The sequence below is a fragment of the Homo sapiens genome, chromosome 11, assembly GCF_000001405.40.
Source record: "Homo sapiens chromosome 11, GRCh38.p14 Primary Assembly".
NCBI lineage: Eukaryota > Metazoa > Chordata > Mammalia > Primates > Hominidae > Homo > Homo sapiens.
In genome coordinates this window covers 16,909,966-16,928,671 of record NC_000011.10, presented here as the reverse complement: position 1 = coordinate 16,928,671, position 18,706 = coordinate 16,909,966, and the positions used below count along the sequence as shown (strand labels likewise).

Genomic DNA, 18,706 nt, shown 5'->3' with positions numbered 1-18,706 from the left:
CCAGCCTGGACAACATAGTGAGTCCCCATCTCTAAAAAAATTTAAAAAAAAATTAGCTGGGCATGGTGGCACATGCTTGTAGTGTCAGCTACTCAGAAGACTGAGGTGGGAGAACCACTTGAGCTCTGGGAGGTCGAGGCTGCAGTGAGCTGTGATTGTACCACTGCACTAACATGATGGAGCAAGAATACTGTGTCTCAAAATAAAAATACAAAAAAAAAAAAAAAATCTGGGGGCAAAACCAATCTACCTTTAAGATTACTATCAAACCCCTAATGGTGAGTAGATGGTAGTAGAAAATTGAATTCTGTTCCAGCTTGCCTGTAAGGTTGATTTCATTCTGTTTTTTTGTTTTTGTTTTTGAGACAAAGTCTCACTCCGTCACCCAGGCTGGAGTGCAGTGGTGCAATCATAGCTCGCTGCAACCTCAAGCTCCTGGGCTCAAGAGATCCTCCCACCTCAGCAATGCCCAAAGTGCTAGGATTACAGGCGTGAACCGTCACATTCTGTTTTAATGTTAAGGTTCTTCTATACTTTAATATGGGTTGATAAATTTACTTGTTGTGAGGATGACATGCCATAGTGGCATCACATTTTACCTCAGATAGTAGGTTCTGAGTCAACCAGTAAGAAAAATAAACACAGGTGCTTACCACCTCCCTCCCCAACAGACCCCCCCTTCCCCCTCCACACACAATTGGGATGATTTGTTTTGTAACATTTTGTTTTATTCAACAGTAAGTATTTAAAATATCATTTTAAAAGTTGTATGTATTCCATCGTAAGCATGTACCACAGTTTATTAACCAATTTCCTGTCGTACAATTAGATCATTTCCAATTACTTGCTCTTATAAAAATGATGAGATGAACATCCTTGCGGATAAATCTTTGTGCTCATCCACAATGAAGTATTCTGGATAAATTCTTGGTTGCGGAATTGATGGTTCACAGGATATGAGCATTTTAAAGCCTTTTAATTCATATTGCCAAATTGTCCCCAAGGTCATTGCATGCTTCCTTCAAAGTGTCTTCTTGCCAACATTACTGGAAGTTATTATTCAAAGGAGTCTTGCATAGCATGCCTTTTTTGTTTTTTTGGATGACCCAGGGCTTCTATTCATTGTCTGGCCAATTTATCCTGGAAAGAGTACATGAAACGAGGCTAGAGATGATAAGTGCTGGTGGCTGGGTTGTGGGGGAGGGTGGGGAAAGATAACAGAAGGGTGGGCTTTGGAGGCCATTTCTTTACTCTGGCCTCCAAGCTATCTTCAGCAGACATCTAAAAACAGAATATTGCTTAATACTTAAAGGGCATATATAGTTTTAAAAAGCGTATTCACTATTATAATTTTTGATTTGGAAAATAATTTGGTCACCATAGAAGAATGGGAATGGCATTTGTATATTTATCCAAAAGGAAGTATGGTTTAAAAAAATATATGGAGAAACAATGTCCTAATCCAACCTCTCATTTTATTTTTATTTTGTTTTGAGACAAGATCTCGCTTTGTCACCCAGGATGGAGTGCATCACAGATCACCGCAGTCTCAAATTCCTGGGCTCAAGCCATTCCCTCCCTGCCCCCACCCCCGCCTCAGCCTCCTGACTAGCTATGGCTGCGGGCTAGCGCTACCACGCCTGACCCAACCTCTTATTTTAGATAGAGACACTGATACCAGAGAGTGGAAGGGATTTCTGTATGGCCACACAGCAAATTGATGACTGAGTTGGAGCCTCAAGTGAAGGTTCCCAAATTCCTGTACAGCGCTCTTTTGCAGAGGTAGGACAGCCATGGATCAGGGAGAGATGAGAAAACAGACATAAGGGCCTCTTTGGACAGATAGCCAGGCTCTCTTCTAGGGCCTGGGAGCCACCCTATGCCCCACCTGGATAAAAGCCCAGATGTGCCTAGCATGGCATTTCCACTTCTGCCTAATCATCTCCACCTGTGAATGGAAGCAAGCTTACACTTTAATACCCAGTGGTTTTGCCTGAACTTTCCCACTCACTGGGTAACGTCTCAGCTTTGTCAAGTATCACTTCGTCAGGGATCCTTTCTTGACTGCCAAGACTTAAGGCTCCCTGGTGCATTCTTATAACACCTCTGTAATCCCCTCGCAACAATGGTAATTACCTTGTTCTGTATTTAATATAGGTCTCCCTGACTAGAGTAGAAGCACTGTGAGTGTAGGAAGATTATCTGTTGCTCCTGGCATATACTAACCCTTAAATGTTTGCATGTGTGAATATTTGGACGGGTGCTAATGAATGAATTAGAAGTGTGTGTGGGCTGCTGAGAGGTGCTGTAGTTCTGATTGCCTGCAGGACCAGGAGAGTGATCCCTTATTGCCAAGGGCATTGAGAAAAGAGAGAAAGAAAAGAGACATAGTTGAGGTTGCGAGGGCAGAGACAAGCCAGAGGGTATGGTCTCCTTCGCTGGGTGCCTGATAGCGGCCTCCTGGGCGATGAGGTCGCAGTCACATCCAACCAAGTCTTCATTCCTGGCTTGTCAGAATCCGTTCCCGCAATTTACCAGGGATTGTTAGAAGACTCCTTGAATCATTGTGGGGAAGAGCATTCAAGGTCAGGACTCTTGGAGGGGAGACGACAGCAACCCGGGTCTCCTGCAGCCTGGTCTTCCCAGCCGATGGGCACTTGCGGCAACGGATGACAGGTCTGCTGGTGTCTGGCTAGACGCCAGAACAGCGCAGTTCTGAGGCCGCAGGTCCTGCCCCTCCGCCCTTTTCCCTCCCCCTCCTCAGCCTCTCTACCCCTCCCACTTGCAGCATCCTCTACGAGGAAAGGAATGTGCTGGGCTCGGACGCGCCGTCCTGGCCGAACGGCAGCACCTGGGGCGCGCTCTGGACCGCTGGGGTCCGCTGTCTGGCGCTGCGCCACGTGCTTTGATCGGTGCTGATGTCAAGTGGGTGTGGGCTCCTCGGAAAGGCCCCGGCGAGGAGGAGGAGGGCGCGCGATGCGCCGCGGGCGAGCTGAGGCCCCGGCGCGCTCCGTAGCCCAGCGCCGCTGACCGGTGGCCCGCCCGGGCTCGCGAAGCAGTCGCATGGAGCCGCGGAGCTGTCCTCCCTGGGACGCGTGCCCCGCCACGCTGGGGGTCTGGCAGGAGCGACCAAGGGGGGCCTGCAGGTGTGTGTGCGCGCTGTAACTTTCGGGGGGTCTGCGGGTTGTCGAGCCGACAGGGCGCAGGGTGCACGGGCTCCTTTTGGGGGTGCTTTGTGTCTGGGCGCGGGCGTGACTGGAGCCGGCTAGTCCCCGGCCAGCCATGAGCGAGGGAGCCGTAGCTGGCCGCTGGAGTTTCTGCAAGAGAATTCATTGAGCCGGCGCCCGGCTTTGGGTTACTCCTCGGGAAGGACGCCAAGGGAGCCGTTGTTGTTTTTAAAAATCGGGTCTCCAAGTACAGACTGCGTTCTTGTTAACAGGATTACCTCAGCAGCAGAGAGCGCCGCTTCCCAAAATCGGCTGTGGTTGGGGACCCCACGGCCCCGCAGGCGTGCGGGCTGCGGGGACAGCAACTGGCCAGCAGTGGAGAGGGTGGGGACCGGGAGGTGGGCAAAGGCGACCCCGCCAAGCGTTCCGCCAAGTGTGCAGGGGCGCCTGCCCTTCCTCTACACCCACACTTGCCAGGAGCCGGCTACGGAGGAGGTAAGGGGTCAGCTTCTCGCCTGTGACAGCTCTGGTTTCAGACACACCTTCCCGGAGGAATGCAGAGGCTTTGTTCCAGGCGCCCGTCCCAGCCCCGAGCCCTGAAGCCCGCGGGCATAGGGCTGGGACTCCGGTGCCATTACTCATCTTTTATGGCAACGCCGGCAAGCTCCTAGGTAGGCAAGTTAATTATTAATGTGTCTAAGCTGGAGAGAGGAAATCTGAAAATGAGATTGGTGGGTTGCAGGCCTCCCCCTTTCTTTTTTGGCTTTGGCAAGGCAAGGTTTAAGCCCAAGGTGTTGCAGTCTATTTCCCTAGAAGGATAAGGGCATTCCCCCAAGGCACCAGCACTGCCCCCGAAGGGTTCCCCTTTCGTTGTCGGTGGGACAGCCCCATCTCCTCCCAGAGGGCAGAAAGGGTGCATCCCTCAGTTTTTAATCTACTTTAGAACCCGTCTGTACCCCTCCTCCTTTGCCTTCCTAAATGCATCTCACTCCCATCCCCTTCCTCAAGGCAGCTTCCAGACCAGGTGTAGGAGACCTGAGTCCTCTCAGCAGGTAGAGTCTGAAACATTCTGAAAAATAGAAAAATGTTGCCCTGTCCCAGCCATGGTGCCTGAAAACCTCCTTGCGTGCTCCGCCAGTGCCCTCGGGTGTATTTTCAGGCCTGGGGGCTGTGGGCAGAGGAAGAGGTGTCTGTCAGGTGTCACCTGACTTGTCTCTCCCAGGCCCCTCAGTAGGAGGGGAGCAGAAAGGTCCAGGTGGGAAATAGAGAAGGTGGAGTGAGGCTCCTCCCTCAGGCAGTTTCAGTTTCCCTCCTGTCCTTATCAGAGAGAGGGTGGGTCTAAGACTGATAGTTGTACAAGGTGTCCTGTTTGTGTGCTGGGGTATTTCTGGGTGGGGCCCTAATGAGTGGGAGTGGAAGGGCCCAGCCTTAAATGGAGGGCTGTGGACCAGGCTGGGCTCTGGGGAGGTGGGAGGGACGGGGGTTGGTTAGAGACAGACCTGAGGAGATTTTTTACCCCAGCCAGGGCCTTAGAATAGTTGTGAAACTCAGCCTTCCTGGTAGCATTGTGCCTTAGAGACCTGGGAAGCTATGTGCTGGCTTAGGATAGAGTTTTCAGTCCTGTTAACGGAAGGGTGGAAGGACTGGACTGTAGAGTAAGTGCGATGAGGAAGATGAGCATGTCTTGGAAGTTGACATTCTGGGGAGTGCAAGAGGCGGCTGAGTTTATGTAAGGCGGGGAGGGGCAAAGGCAAGAAGTGTGGGGAATAGGGTGGGCTTACTGCAGGCAAGGAGCGCAGGAAGGCAGATTTTAGCACTGGGTGTGGGCTGTGTATCAGAGAGGTGCTTCCAGACAGGCTGCTGTGCTCCCTCCCCCTCCTCCCAATTTTCTATCCCCTTTCTCAGTGACTTGGTTTGCTGAGTTCGCCTGCCTCTCTGCTCTGCTCTCCATGGGCTGGGCTGCTCCAGTCCCTACCTCACTCCAGCCTTCCAGGGAGAAAATGAGTGAAGGAAGGCTTGACTTTAAAGAGGCTGTTGACTCTGAAACCCTGGTTTGTTGGGGAATCAGTGCCACCTGCCCTGCCACCTGGGTTTGCGGTGTGTACACTCCATGGCAGCCCTCCCCTAACACACAGGGCTCTTGCTTGTAGAGTGCCACCTTCTCCAACCCTGCCCTGAGCTGCTGGTACTCTGTGAGTTGAGGATTTGAAGATGGCCTTGATTAGGAACAAGGTTTTTCTATTATGAAAAGTCTGCTCAAGCCAGCCGTCTAACGTCTCACCTTTTGGCCTGCTGGCCATGGCTGCATATTTGTGGATAATGGCCCAGCCAAGATGGCCTGGGGCAGCTACTACCCAAAGTGATTCCCGGAAAGAGTAGGTGGGTAGCGGGGTCCCTAGGGCACTGAGAGTGAGAGGGCATCAGAGGTTATAGGTTAGGGGGAAAGTGAGGCAGGTATCAGACTGTGGAATGGTGGGGTGAGGATGTCATGGTCACTATGGATTGTGAGGTCAGAGGACTGAGTAGGGCTAGCTTGGAAATTCCCCATGTGTCTTGCTCCTAATGTCTGCACTGGATGGAGCAGGCTATGGTGAGTCCAACATCAGTGGAGGCCTCTGTCCTGGGGCCTGACTCCCCTTGCTCTCAGGGGAAAGGGGCAGCCTGTCTCTCCTCTGCACCAGCTCCTTAGCTTGTCTTCTCTCTTCCCTCTTAAAAGAGGTACTTGGTTGATGGTGGTTACTGAGTTCCTCAGTAGCAGCTGTGGCAGGGAGCCTTTACCTGGGATGGGTGGCAGGAGAAGCTCCCTAGGCTAAGAGAAGGGTGCTCTGATGGTTTGTTCTGACTCAGGCAAGATCGGGAGGAGAAATAGACTAAAGACCCTGGCAGCACTTGCAGTCTTGGTTTGCAAAAGCACAAAGTTCCAACCTAGGGTTTGTACTATATCTGGTGAAGGGAAAAGAAGCCAGTGTTCCAGGCCTATACCCTGTGAGTACCCAGGAATGAGGGGAGAGAGAATGAGGGGTTAATTGAAGCAGTGTGGCAATTTCTTTGGAGGCTTGGGCTCAAATTCAGTCTCTGCTACTTACTAGCTTTGTGTCCTTCAGCTTCTCTGAGTCTCAGTTTCTTTGCCTATTTGTTAAGTAGGGACAAGGCCACTCCCCCATCCTCAGGACAATTGTGAGAATTGTATGAGATGATTGTAAAGGATTTAATGCAGTACTTACCAATTGATAGCTATTATTTTTCATTAATTAAGGCAGCTAGAGAGTCCTTGGATCATTAGCTGAGAGGTTTTTTTGTTTTGTTTTTTAAATGTAGAAAATAAGAATGTATTTTGTGCTGCTACCAGAGGCCATACCTGGGCTCCTAGGTTCAGATGAGACAACTGTCCTAGAAGGGTTTCATCTGACTTCCATATCAAACCTGTTTCCAGCCTCCAGATATTCAAAGAGGCCTTGGAGAACCCTGAATCTCTGACGCAGGCATACAGCATAGCTGAACTGGAAAGGTCACCTGCTCAAACTCCTGCTGAAGCAGCCTTCTCTGGTCCAGCCAGGATTAGGGAATATTAGTCCTAAGAGCAACTGGATACCTGTCACATTTTAGCTGCGTGACTCTAGACGAGTCCTTTTATCTCTTTGAGCCAGTGTCCTTTGAGAATAATAAAACCTGCCTCACACAGTTGTTCTTATGCTCAAACAGGACAACGTATGCTCAACTGTAATGCAGCATTGCATATTATTGATAGCTAACTAGATACCAGACAGTGATCTCAGTATGTTCATATATTATCTCATTGAATTCTCACAGCAAGTTATGATGCAACTTAATTATTGTCCACATTTCATTAATGAAGAAGTTGAGCTGTTAGGGATTGTAATTGTTATTGTTGGATAGCTGACTCCTTACTGGAAGTCATGCATCTGAAGACCTATCTCCCAAAGTAGGAATAAACTAAAGTTCCTACAAATATGTTTGCATGCTGCCTTTCTTCCACTGACCTATTCTAATATCCCAGGCTAAGTCTGAACATAAATTTGTAAAATAAGTTTGCTATTTTTGTGCCCCTCTCTGCCCCCTCATCCATAGGGTCTGTGGGGCTGATGGACACAGTGCCTTCTTGTCTGTGACTTTTAAGCATCACTTGCATGGGATTGTAACCCTTTTTGCACTCACCCTAGCTAGTAGTTCCTTTTAAGAAAGAGGTTGCTAGTTTGATTTGAGTTTAGGCAGGGGAAATGTTTGGTCTAGAGATGACTGTTAGGCTCAGAGTTTTCAAGGTCCCATCTTTCTTTCTGACGCATCTGGTAAGCTGTTTTGCTCTGTTCCAGATGATCTGCCAGTGAACAGAGGTCTGAAGTTCTCAATGTGTTAGAAAAAAAATGTAAAAGGAACAACAACAACAAAAAAACGCCCTGCGAAAATAAGGGCTCCCAGCTGGTGGTGTTTCAGACACAGGCATTGCTCATTAACGGAGTTATGATTACAGCCCCGAATTCATTCTCATTACTTTTGTAGCATGTTTATAAGATTACAAAAAGGCTGTCACTTTGTGGGTTATTTTCTCTTTTTATTACATGAACAACATTTATGCAGGTGTGACACCAATAAAGCAATACAGGTCTGGTTTGGAATAAAAAGTGAGATACCACGGGTGAGGCTCTAGGTGTGCTTAAGAGATTCTAGGGCTCTGGTTAGCAAAGAAAGAGTTTCCACGGCATGGAGCTGTGCACTCTGCTCCTGTAGCAGCCTGCTGGTGTCGTCAGAGTGGGCATAGTTCCTGTCACTTTACTGGAACTTGGAGTGACACGTCTGAAGTCAGGTAGTCAGATATGTAATGGCAGAGACTGGACTCCAGGTCCCTGACTTTTCGGACTCAGAGGCAAGTGGTCTTATTTGTCCTGACAATAATTTAAATAATTTTTCCTATTATGTACACTTTGTGGGAAATTTAGAATATTATACTACAAAGAAGATGGAGGAAATTAAGGACCAAGCACCAAAGACAACCACTGTCCATATTTTGATGGATTTTGAAAAACCTTTTCTCTTTGTTTTGTTTGTTTAGAAATGGGGACATTTGTTTTTGTCAGGGGAGATTTGCTATTTGCTTGTTATTTATACATCTCTGGGCATATCTAATTTCCTCCCTTGGAACAGGCATTCTTTCTGTAAGCTTTGATTCTCTACAAATTCAGGTGAAGCTCTTTATTTTATGTAAAGCACTGTGCTAGGCACTGTAGGGGAAAGAGATGAGCAAGCCATTCCTCTCTTCGGAATTTACAATTAAGTGGGAGAGGCAGATGTGTACTCAACCAATTAGTACAGGTAGAGTAGTAATAACAAACATTTCTGATAGCCAGCCCTTTCCATGTGCTTTATACAAGTTACTCACATTTAATCCCCCATCAACCTTGTGAAGGAGGCATTGCCCATTTTATAATTGTAGAAACTCAGAGGTTAGTTTGCCTAAGGTGATAAAACTAGCAGCCACCCAAGCTGTGATCCAAATCCAGGTTGTCCCATTACAAAAGTAAGTGTCCTCTGTTATGAAAAACGGCTGGTATCACAAATCCCAGAGAAGGGAAGCTCAAAGTCAAAGTCCTTTGTGAAGAAGGAAGAGATGGTACATATCTCTTTGTCATTCCCTCTCTCATCCTTTCTCTCTCTCTGATTCTAATTATATTGAGTAATATTTGTTGTCTTTTTTTTCCCTGCTTAGAATCTTTTGTTTATTTGGGTCATTTGATAATAAATCTGAGTATTGGAACTGGAGGGGAATGGAAAGGTTATCTAGACTATCCTTTTTACTTTCTTTTTTTCTCAAATTTTTAATTTTAAGAGATGAGGTCTTGCTCTGTTACCCAGACTGGAGTGCAGTGGTGTGATCATAGCTCACTGCAGCATCCAACTCCTGGGCTCCTGACTCAGCCCCCCAAGAAGATAGGACTACAGGTGTGAGCTACCATGCTTGGCTAAGTGTTTTTCTTTTTTTAGAGGTGAGATCTCACTATGTTGCCCAGGCTGGTCTAGAACTCCTGGCCTCAAGTGATCCTCCTGCCTGTCTCCTGAGAAGCTGGGATTACAGGCACCAGCCACTGCATCTGGTTCTTTTTATTTTCTTACTGGAGAAAACTGAGTCTCAGAGAAGAGAAGTGACCTGGGCATACAGAATAGTTTTTAGTTAAGTGAGGACCAGAACCCAAGTTTTCTTTTCACCAGAGTTTCCCAAAGTGTGCAATGATATGGGGTAATACAGGGGTGAATCTTTCTTTTCTTTTCTTTCTTTTGAGACAGAGTTTCACTCTTGTCACCCAGGCTGGAGTGCAATGGCGTGATCTCAGCTCACTGCAACCTCCGCCTCCCAGGTACAAGCGATTCTCCTGCCTCAGCCTCCCAGGTAGCTGGAATTACAGGCATCTGCCACCAAGCCCAGCTAATTTTTTTGTATTTTTTAGTAGAGATGGGGTTTCATCATCTTGGCAAGGCTGGTCTCAAACTCCTGACCTCAGGTGATCCACCCACCTTGGCCTCCCAAAGTGCTGGCATTATAGGCATGAGCCACCGTGCTGGGCCTAGGGGTGAATATTTCTTAATAGTTTTTTTTTTATGTGAGTATGTAATGTTTTTCATGTGTGTTTGAAGAAAAATATAACTAGAACATCAAAGTCATCATTTGGCAGCTGTTATGCTTAGGATATAGCTAGAGTCCTTGTGGTCTATTTAAAGGAAAAAAGTGGAAGTACAGGTTGGACAAGATGTGGCAGAAATTACAGAGGCGGTGTGAGCAATGTGTGGTTAATGTTAGGGAAACAGTGCATTTACACCAGTTTACACTTCCTCCTAATGGATTCACCTGCCTGGCCAGCTTTATTATTTCAGGGGCAAGTAGAAGGGAGCCAACCCTTAGTGAAAACCTACTACTTGCTGGGCATTTTACCAGCTGGTCAGTATCAACGGGCTCATTGTACTGATGTGTATATATTGAGAAAGCTCAGAGAAGTTGATTAACAAGCTCAAGGTTACAGAGGATAGGTTGGAGAGTGAAGGTTCAGATCCCAGCTTGGGCTGCTTCAGTTGCCCCTTATAGCCACCTGCTGCCTTCCACAAGGTGAGTGAGCCTAGGACCTTTCTCCTCCTAGGTCTGACTCCTGTTGGGATTTGAAGGTACCAGGCTCAAGTGGAAATGAACGTGGTTGGGTTGCTAGGTTGTTGCTGTAGCCTGCTAATTTAAGGCTTGATTTTGATAGAATTTTAAAGAATGTGCAGTATTTATCAAATCTGACTCATGCTATTCAGTGACAGAACCCTTATCCTGCTTCTGTCCGTGTTGTGATGACGCCATGTGAATTGTGAGCCCCAGGAAGATGTAGATTGTGAATGACTCTTGAGATTGAGTCATCTATCCATACTTTCAGAGTTCAGAGAATCAACTAGTAGGCATTTACCTAGAGTGGAGCTGTGGAGGTGAGATGTGGGCTGCTTCCACGTTAGCTGAAGAAACCTGGAGCTGTAGGTTATAGAGAGAAGAATGACTTTCAGGGCCCCTTGTGGGACATTTTGTCTAGAACAATGGGATCCAAGCTTTGGGTCCCTCCTAAACCAACCAAGAAGGTTCAACTTCTTAGTGCTTTAGGACTACATGGAGCATGGCCTCTTGCACAAGGCAAACAGTCACTGTGCATCTGCCATGTGGTAAGTGCTATGATAGTGGAGTGGGCCAGATGATGGGCTCCTCCAAAAGATGTCCATGTGCTAATACCCAGAACCTGTGAATATGTTACCTTATATGGGAAAAGGGACTTTCGGATATGATGAAGGGAAGGACTTTGGGATGGGAAGATCATTCTGGATTATCTGGGTGGGCCCATGTAATCAGAAGGGTCCTTATAAGATCAGAGTAAGGGAAGGAAATATGAGGAGGGTAGTAGAGGTTGGAGCATTGTGCCCTTGAGCCAAGGAATGTGGGCAGCCTCTAGAAGCTGGAAGAGGCAAGGAATGGATTCTGCCCTAGGGCCTCCTGAGGAGCACGGCTCTGCTGACTCTTTGATTTCAGTCCAATAAGACTGATTTTGGATATCTGACCTCCGAAACCTTAGGATGATAAATTTGTGTTGTTATAAGTACCTAAATTTATGATAATTTGTTATAGCAGCAATAGGAAGCTAATATAGATAGACACAGAAGATGAACAGTGAATACAGCATATCTCTGCCTTCAAGCAGCTCTCATTCTAGTGGGGAAGACAGGCAAGTCAACGGCCAATTTTTTATTTTTTATTTTTTTGAGACAGGGTCTTGCTGTGTCACCCAGGCTGGAGGGCAGTGGCGTGAATTTGGCTCACTGCAAATTCCACCTCCTGGATTCAAGTGATTCTCCTGACTCAGCCTCCCAAGTAGCTGGGGTTACAGGTACCTGCCACCAAGCCCGGCTAATTTTTGTATTTTTTGTAGAGACAGGGTTTCACTGTGTTGGCCAGGTTTGTTTTGAACTCCTGACCTCAATTGATCCACCCGCCTCGGCCTCCCAAAGGGTTGGGATTACAGGTGTGAGCCACCGTGCCCGGCCTCAAAAGCCACTTTTGATAATAGTGGTAGTGTCCGAATAGGGCTATTAATCCAGGATTCTGTGGGACCTAATCCAGCCTGACCTCAGGGGTGCCACTGAGGATAAGTTGGAGGAAGGTGGGCAGGGAAGAGCCTTTATGGTGGGAAAAAAAGAGCATCAATGTCATCTCAGTCAGATCAGAAAACTAGGTGGAGCTTACTGGCAGTCCTTGCAAGGGAGAAAGCTGGTTCCATCTAAATTGGTGCAGTCTCTGTGGCTGTTTTCAGACTTAAGCCTTTTGGGCCTTGCATAATTGGGGAGATAGGTTGAAAAGTCCTGTTTCCTCTTCAGGGTTGTGTGATAATAGAGTTGATTGTTCCAGGCACTGCCGTGGCTTTTTTACACATTGTCCGATCTAATCTTCAAAACAATTGCCTGAGGTAGGGACTGTTTTCCTCATCCTATGATTGAGGGAAATGAGACTTAAGTTAATCAGGCCCAACAGCACACAGCTTGTAAGTAGTGGGGCTGAGATTCGAATCCAGGTCTTTAGGTGTCAGAGCCCATGTTCTGAGCATGGTTTTCTGCGGTAGAAAGTCCACTTGGCGCTTCTGCACAGCCAAAGAAACTACCATCAGAGTGAACAGGCAACCTACAAAATGGGAGAAAATTTTCGCAACCTACTCATCTGACAAAGGGCTAATATCCAGAATCTACAATGAACTCAAATTTACAAGAAAAAACAAACAACCCCATTAACAAGTGGGCGAAGGACATGAACAGACACTTCTCAAAAGAAGACCTTTATGCAGCCAAAAAACACATGAAACAATGCTCACCATCACTGGCCATCAGAGAAATGCAAATCAAAACCACAATGAGATACCATCTCACACCAGTTAGAATGGCAATCATTAAAAAGTCAGGAAACAACAGGTGCTGGAGAGGATGTGGAGAAATAGGAACACTTTTACACTGTTGGTGGGACTGTAAACTAGTTCAACCATTGTGGAAGTCAGTGTGGCGATTCCTCAGGGATCTAGAACTAGAAATACCATTTGACCCAGCCATCCCATTAATGGGTATATACCCAAAGGACTATAAATCATGCTGCTATAAAGACACATGCACACGTATGTTTATTGCGGCATTATTCACAATAGCAAAGACTTGGAACCAACCCAAATGTCCAACAATGATAGACTGGATTAAGAAAATGTGGCACATATATACCATGGAATATTATGCAGCCATAAAAAATGATGAGTTCATGTCCTTTGTAGGGACATGGATGAAATTGGAAATCATCATTCTCAGTAAACTATCGCAAGAACAAAAAACCAAACACTGCATATTCTCACTCATAGGTGGGAATTGAACAATGAGAGCACATGGACACAGGAAGGGGAACATCACACTCTGGGGACTGTTGTGGGGTGGGGGGAGGGGGGAGGGATAGCATTGGGAGATATGCCTAATGCTAGATGACGAGTTAGTGGGTGCAGCGCACCAGCATGGCACATGTATACATATGTAACAAACCTGCACATCGTGCACATGTACCCTAAAACTTAAAGTATAATAATAATAAATTAAAAATAAAAAAGTCCACTTGGCCAGATATGAGAGGACCTGAGTTCTAGTCCTAGGTCTGCTTCTTATTAGACTTAGAGCAGGTCAACCTACTTACCAATCTGTTTTCCTGTCTGTAAAAGGAGATAAGAGGCCAGCCTGCCTCAGAGATGTTGTGAGTTCAGGGCAATGTTGCCTGAAGGCAACGTGTCTCAGACACCTCTGGAGAGGGCCTTGATAGTGAACCCCATCCCCTTAAGGGTCATTGAGGTGGGTTGGGGAATTCGGCCACAGGGGATCATTGAGGTGTCCACATGGGGCTATTATATTTGCATCTGTGGGTAGTGGTGGAGATAGAAAGTGGGCAAGAAACAGCAGAGTGGCCTGTCTCAGGGCACTGGGAGTGGGGTATAAGTCTAGGAGAGAGAGGTGTGGCCTGCATCATGTTTTCTCCAAAGACATGAATGCTGGAGGCTGCTGAGGAGAAAAACCTTTCTTGTCTTGGGGTCAAGTGACAAGCATTTAGTCCCAGCCCTGCCACTTAACCATCTGTGTGATTTGAGGCAAGTTGGCTGGAGTTCCGTAACCTCCATTTTCTCATATGTAAAACAGGGCTAATGATTCCCATGTTGCAGAGCATGTGAAAGCATCCTGTCCCTTTCCTGGTATGCAGTGGACATTGATAAATAGTGGTGAACTCTAGATCACTTTAGTATTTCCCGGGGTTAATCCAATAAGTCCCAATTCTTTGCAGGATTCCACATTTCTCCCTTGCCTTTCAGACTCACTTAGGCACATTGTAGTTGGATGTGAAGGAAGGTCTGGCCATAGAATGAGACCCCCATGAATTATTGAGGGGGAAGACCCTGTGCTTCCTGGAAGGAGATGCTGATCAGTGTTTTTCTGGTGGCTGCAGTGGGTACGCAGGGCCATTTTGGAAGCGAGAATGTTTGTCTTGCCAAGTACGAGATTGAGTGTCACCGGTTTGCTTTCTGGGAATAATGGCTGTGCCGATGAAATAGATTTATGGCGCTGAGGTACGTCACAGATGAGACTGATTTTTTTTTCCCACTTTAAATGTCGATGTTTTCTAATTATTCAAATAATGTGCTTATTTTAGAATATTGGGAAAGTATCAAGAAAGAAAAAAATGTCTACTTCTAAGTCCAGGGGTGATTACTGCTAACGTTTTGGTAAATTTCCCTTTCTTCTTTTTTCAAATGCACATAAGCTTTTTTTTTAAATATGCTTTATGCACTTACGATATCATGTGTATTTCCCAGATCATTACATATTCCTTAAGAACATTTTTATTTGGTACATAACAGTCTGTGGTGCACACATGCCATAATATTCTTAATCATTCCCTGTTCCATAGTTAGGCATTTAGATTGCTTCTACTTTTCTCCTAAAATACATAAAAATATTTCACTTTTTAAAGAACGATTTTCTTAAATTCCTGGAACTGGGATTCCTAGATCAAAGAATAAGCACATTTAAAAGTGTATTTTGGTGGACTCTTCTATTTACCTTATATTAAAAAGCAAAAAAGTTATGGTGTGGTGAGGCGGCTGCAGGCCAGCTTGGGTGAGGTCCCTGCTTCTGACCATTGTGCACAGAAGGCTGCCTCCTTGCTGCTCACTTGCTTCCTGGCGGACAGTACAATCAGCCTCTTGTGGTTTGCCAGTGAAATTTAAGTACTGGGTCAGCCTTTCCAGTGCTTCTCTCTCTGTCAGGAAGTTCATCTGTGAATCTAACCTAAATCTCATCTGCTGCATTTTAAATCCTCACCTGCTGTCGCTTCCCCTCAGTGGAGTGGAACAGAGCAAAGCTGCGCACTGTCTGCAGGCAGCCTTGTTCACCTCTCTCCCGTGACCACTGCGACGCCAGCTGCCAGCCTTATGTTACCCTGGAGGAAATTTGAGGGTCTCTGGCTACTGCTGTCGAGACTGGGAGGGCAGTCCTTGCATCGAGTTGCTGCTGATAACACCAGGTAGGGTTTCTGAATCCTAGAGTGCCCATGCTGTGCGGGCCAGCATCTCCCGCGCCCTCTGCAGAACTTGTGGGGGCAATTAGCATTCAGAGTGGCACTCTCCTCTGGATGCTGTGGGTCTATCAGATTCATTCTTTGGGGGAAAAAAAAATGTGGCTGGAGCAGGGACTAATTGCATTTCAGCCCCAATTGCATTGGCCAAGCGGTAAATGTACAGTGAAGGAAGATGGCCAGGCAAGGAGGGGCGTTTGAGAACATTCTGGTAATAGGAAATCCGGCTGTCATTGTGGGAGGGAAAGGTCCCACCCTGGGCCTCCCACCCTTGGCATAAAGCAGCTGTGCCCTCTACCAGAACAGCCTTGGCCACCTTTCTTAGCGTGGGTCCATTGTTGAGAGCTGACAGCTTTATTATGGAGCAGTAGGATGTTAATTTGGAAGAGAAATGAATATAGCTGCAACTTCATGGGCAGCAAGAGGCCCCTTGTGTCCCCTCACTTAGGCATTTTAGAGCTGGCTGGCAATTGGCCAGCAGGGTGGAGCGAGTCACACAGGAAAGAGTCTGGGAATTGAGTCCTTGCAGCACCTGTGAGAATATCTGAGCATGGCTAGAAGCCCAGAGGAGATGGAGCCTGAAGCCTCCCGGGGACCCAGTCTGGGCTGACTGACCTCCAGCTCCCTGCCCTCCCCTCTATCACAGCACCTGGAGATCCTGCCTTAATGTTAACTGCTTGATGCTCCCAGCTTGTCCTTGGAAGTTCTACACACGTAAGATGAGATGCCTTGTTTTACACTTTGCTATTCCCTCCTTCCGTGTCTCGTACAGTGTAGGTCTTGATTGAAATGAAGTCAGCATTTAAGAGGCAAAACCCAGTGGTTTTGGGCACTCAGTAAAGAAGCTAGTTCTCTGCTCTTCAGCTCCCATTTAAAATATCCATGTCAGAGTATTATTCATCCTTTTGAAGAGGGGAAGCTTTTTCTGTCTCCCTTTATAGTTATACCAAATTCTCTTTGGTGCTGAATGTCACTGTACTTTTAGCTTAGTGGGTTGAAGTTGGAGGCCAAAGTCCCCACTGCAAGGCCTTAGCCCAGTGAGTGCCACCCCTGGCTGCACATTAGAATGCCTTGGGGAGCTTTTAAAAAATATGTCTGGGACCTAGTGCCAGAGATTCTGATTTATTTGGTCTGGACTGGGGCTCTGGCATCATTTTAGAAACATTCCACTGAATAAGGAGTAAGGTGTGTCTGCCATACCCTATCAGCAGTTTCCCTTTATGGGAAGATACATAGTAGAAGCCTGTGACATCTGCAGCAGTAGGTTACTCCACATCCTTTTTGGAAGCAGAAAGGGTAAAGTGCCAAATGAGAGCATTGCATCAGGGCTTTCATGTGAGGGATTGGCTTGATGGGAAGCCTCCAGAGATGTATCTTGTGCCCATTTCTGTTACCAGGGTGTGCTCTGGCTGTGTCGCTCTGCTTGGTAATTAAGCAGGTGCCGTGGACGGGATGAGGATGCTTTGGTTTAGGTTAAAGATAAAAAGGAAGAAGCAGGATATGAGTGTGTCTCTATTTGATTCATCAGCACAGAGACTGGATTAACTTTTTTCTCAAGCTTTTGGAGCAGGTGGGAGAGCGTGGGGAAAGAGCTCTGAGTGAATTGAGGATGGCTTTTCAGTTTGGGTCTAGAAGACAGGTCAAAGAGGTGGGTGCCTGCAGTGAGTGTTCAACCCTGCATGGCTCTCTGTTATCCCCGAGACCTCACTTCTGCCAGTTTCCTCTTGAATGTTGTAGAGACCTCTTTACAGAGGAGTCAATAAGGGACAAGACTACTGCCATGAGTGAATAAGCACCTTGGCTGTGTGTGTTTGGATTTGGCCGTGGGTTCCTTTTTGTGACTGAGAAAGATTGCACTCCTTTTTGGCTAATGCACACGACTTGATGTCCTGAGTCTTACCCCTTCTCCGATGCCCTCTGGGGTGTTTGTGGTTGGAGCTTTGTTCCAAGAGTAGCCTCCCAGGTTGAAGGGCTGTTTTTGTGGTTGCAGCTGCCCCTTAGCTTCTGTCTCATGGCTGGCCTGCTCCCTGGCCCTGTCAGCCTTAGAGAAGTTGAAGCTCCCTTGAGAGAACCCCTGTAGTTTTCCCACAGGTGAGGAGGCCTGCGGGTTAACACCTGGGGTGCTGATGATGCCATTCCCCAAACTGGCAAATCCTGCTTAGAAAAAAGATACACACATTTTGATTTCCTCGTGCTGTTTCAAACTGCAATTTGCTAATCACCTATAACAGATTCCTCTTGGGTGCTTGTTAAAAATGCACAATCCCTGGGAATAAAACCGAGGAATTTGCATTTTAGCCAGGATGCCAAGTCATCAGATATAGGAATGTTTCAGAATCACTCAGTTAAAAAATGTCACATCACTCTTGCTTTACAGTCGGGAAATGTGACAGAGTGGTTAAGTGACTTGCCCAGGATCACACAGTAGATTACAGCTGGAGCCAAGCCTGGAAGAACTCAAAGCCAAGTCCAGAATGTTATCTCCACTTCATATTTGTATGGAGCTTTGTTCTTTGCAAAGTGTAGTCCATCTTTCTGCTCCTCTAGTTTGCTTAGATGGAGAATGCCCTTGTTGATTTTGGGCCAGATTATTCTTTGTTGTGGGGGGCTGTCCTGTATATTGCAGGCTGTTCAGCAGCATCCCTGGATTTTACCCCCTGGATGCCAGTAGTGCTTCCCAGTTGTGACAACCAAAAATCTCTCCAGGCATTATCAAATGTCCCCTGGGGGGCAAAATTGTCCCAGTTGCAACCCAGTTGTCCCAGTTGCTTTAGTGGGGGAAGCCGTGTTCCAGGGATGTTCCCTAGTGGTATCCCATGACATTTATTTTTATGTTTGGGGACTTGTAAAATTTGCAGAGCTGGCTTCTTCCCAGCTTCGCTAATAAGCTGGATTACAAACATAAATGAAGTCACACTGAATATAAGCTCTCTCCTCATCTTTGCTTTGGCTTACAGAGGGAAGGCATAAATAAGCTTGGAAAGATCACTGACTTTGGACTCCAATCTGCAATTTGCCTGCCACCCTGGGCTTTCTAGGTGTGTGATCTTGGGCAAGTCGCTTAATTTTCTGGAACTCCTTTCCTTATCTGATTATGATAGAAAGAAATGTTTGTTGTGAATGAGAATTAAGTGACACCTTGGATGTGGAAGTGTTTATAAAACATTACTCATATATTAATTGGTGCTGATAAAATTCAGGTCTAATTACTAGCACTTGAGATTTTCTCAAATTTAAAAGTGCAGAACTCAGCACAGCAATTCTAGACTTGTATTTGGCCAAGTATATTATCCTTGTCATCTTCCCATAAAGTTAATCTTCCCCTCTCCCACTTTAAATTTGATCTACCTCTTCTTGGTGGCCATTGCCGTATCTC

The 18,706-nt window shown here is 46.6% G+C and overlaps 1 protein-coding gene and 1 non-coding gene across 33 annotated transcripts in view, besides 1 other annotated feature; both read left to right on the top strand.

The window, feature by feature from the left end:
- The window catches only part of PLEKHA7 (pleckstrin homology domain containing A7), a 237,118-nt gene that overhangs the window by 85,743 nt on the left and 132,669 nt on the right, over positions 1–18,706 (top strand). For 8 of the 32 annotated variants that reach the window (XM_047426439.1, XM_047426435.1, XM_047426437.1 and 5 more), the window contains exon 1: positions 2,816–3,146. The exons of 22 other annotated variants lie outside the window; for them this stretch is intronic. In XM_047426439.1, coding sequence (XP_047282395.1) covers positions 3,064–3,146 — 83 coding nt within the window. In that variant the 5' untranslated portion in view covers positions 2,816–3,063. Of the gene's footprint in view, positions 1–2,815; positions 3,147–3,425; positions 3,663–13,322; positions 15,280–18,706 lie in introns of those variants that run through there. 2 more of the 32 variants (XM_047426446.1, XM_047426433.1) reach the window with 2 other exon arrangements.
- Positions 2,650–2,734, top strand: SNORD147 (small nucleolar RNA, C/D box 147). The gene has a single exon (NR_145810.1). It is a non-coding gene; the product is annotated as a small nucleolar RNA, C/D box 147 (small nucleolar RNA).
- Positions 3,395–4,006: an enhancer, noted in NCBI's record as "H3K27ac-H3K4me1 hESC enhancer chr11:16946213-16946824 (GRCh37/hg19 assembly coordinates)". NCBI's record gives its function as "activates a minimal SCP1, AML or CMV promoter by ChIP-STARR-seq in naive H9 embryonic stem cells {active_cell/tissue: H9 hESC(naive)}" and the evidence as "EXISTENCE:reporter gene assay evidence [ECO:0000049][PMID:30033119]".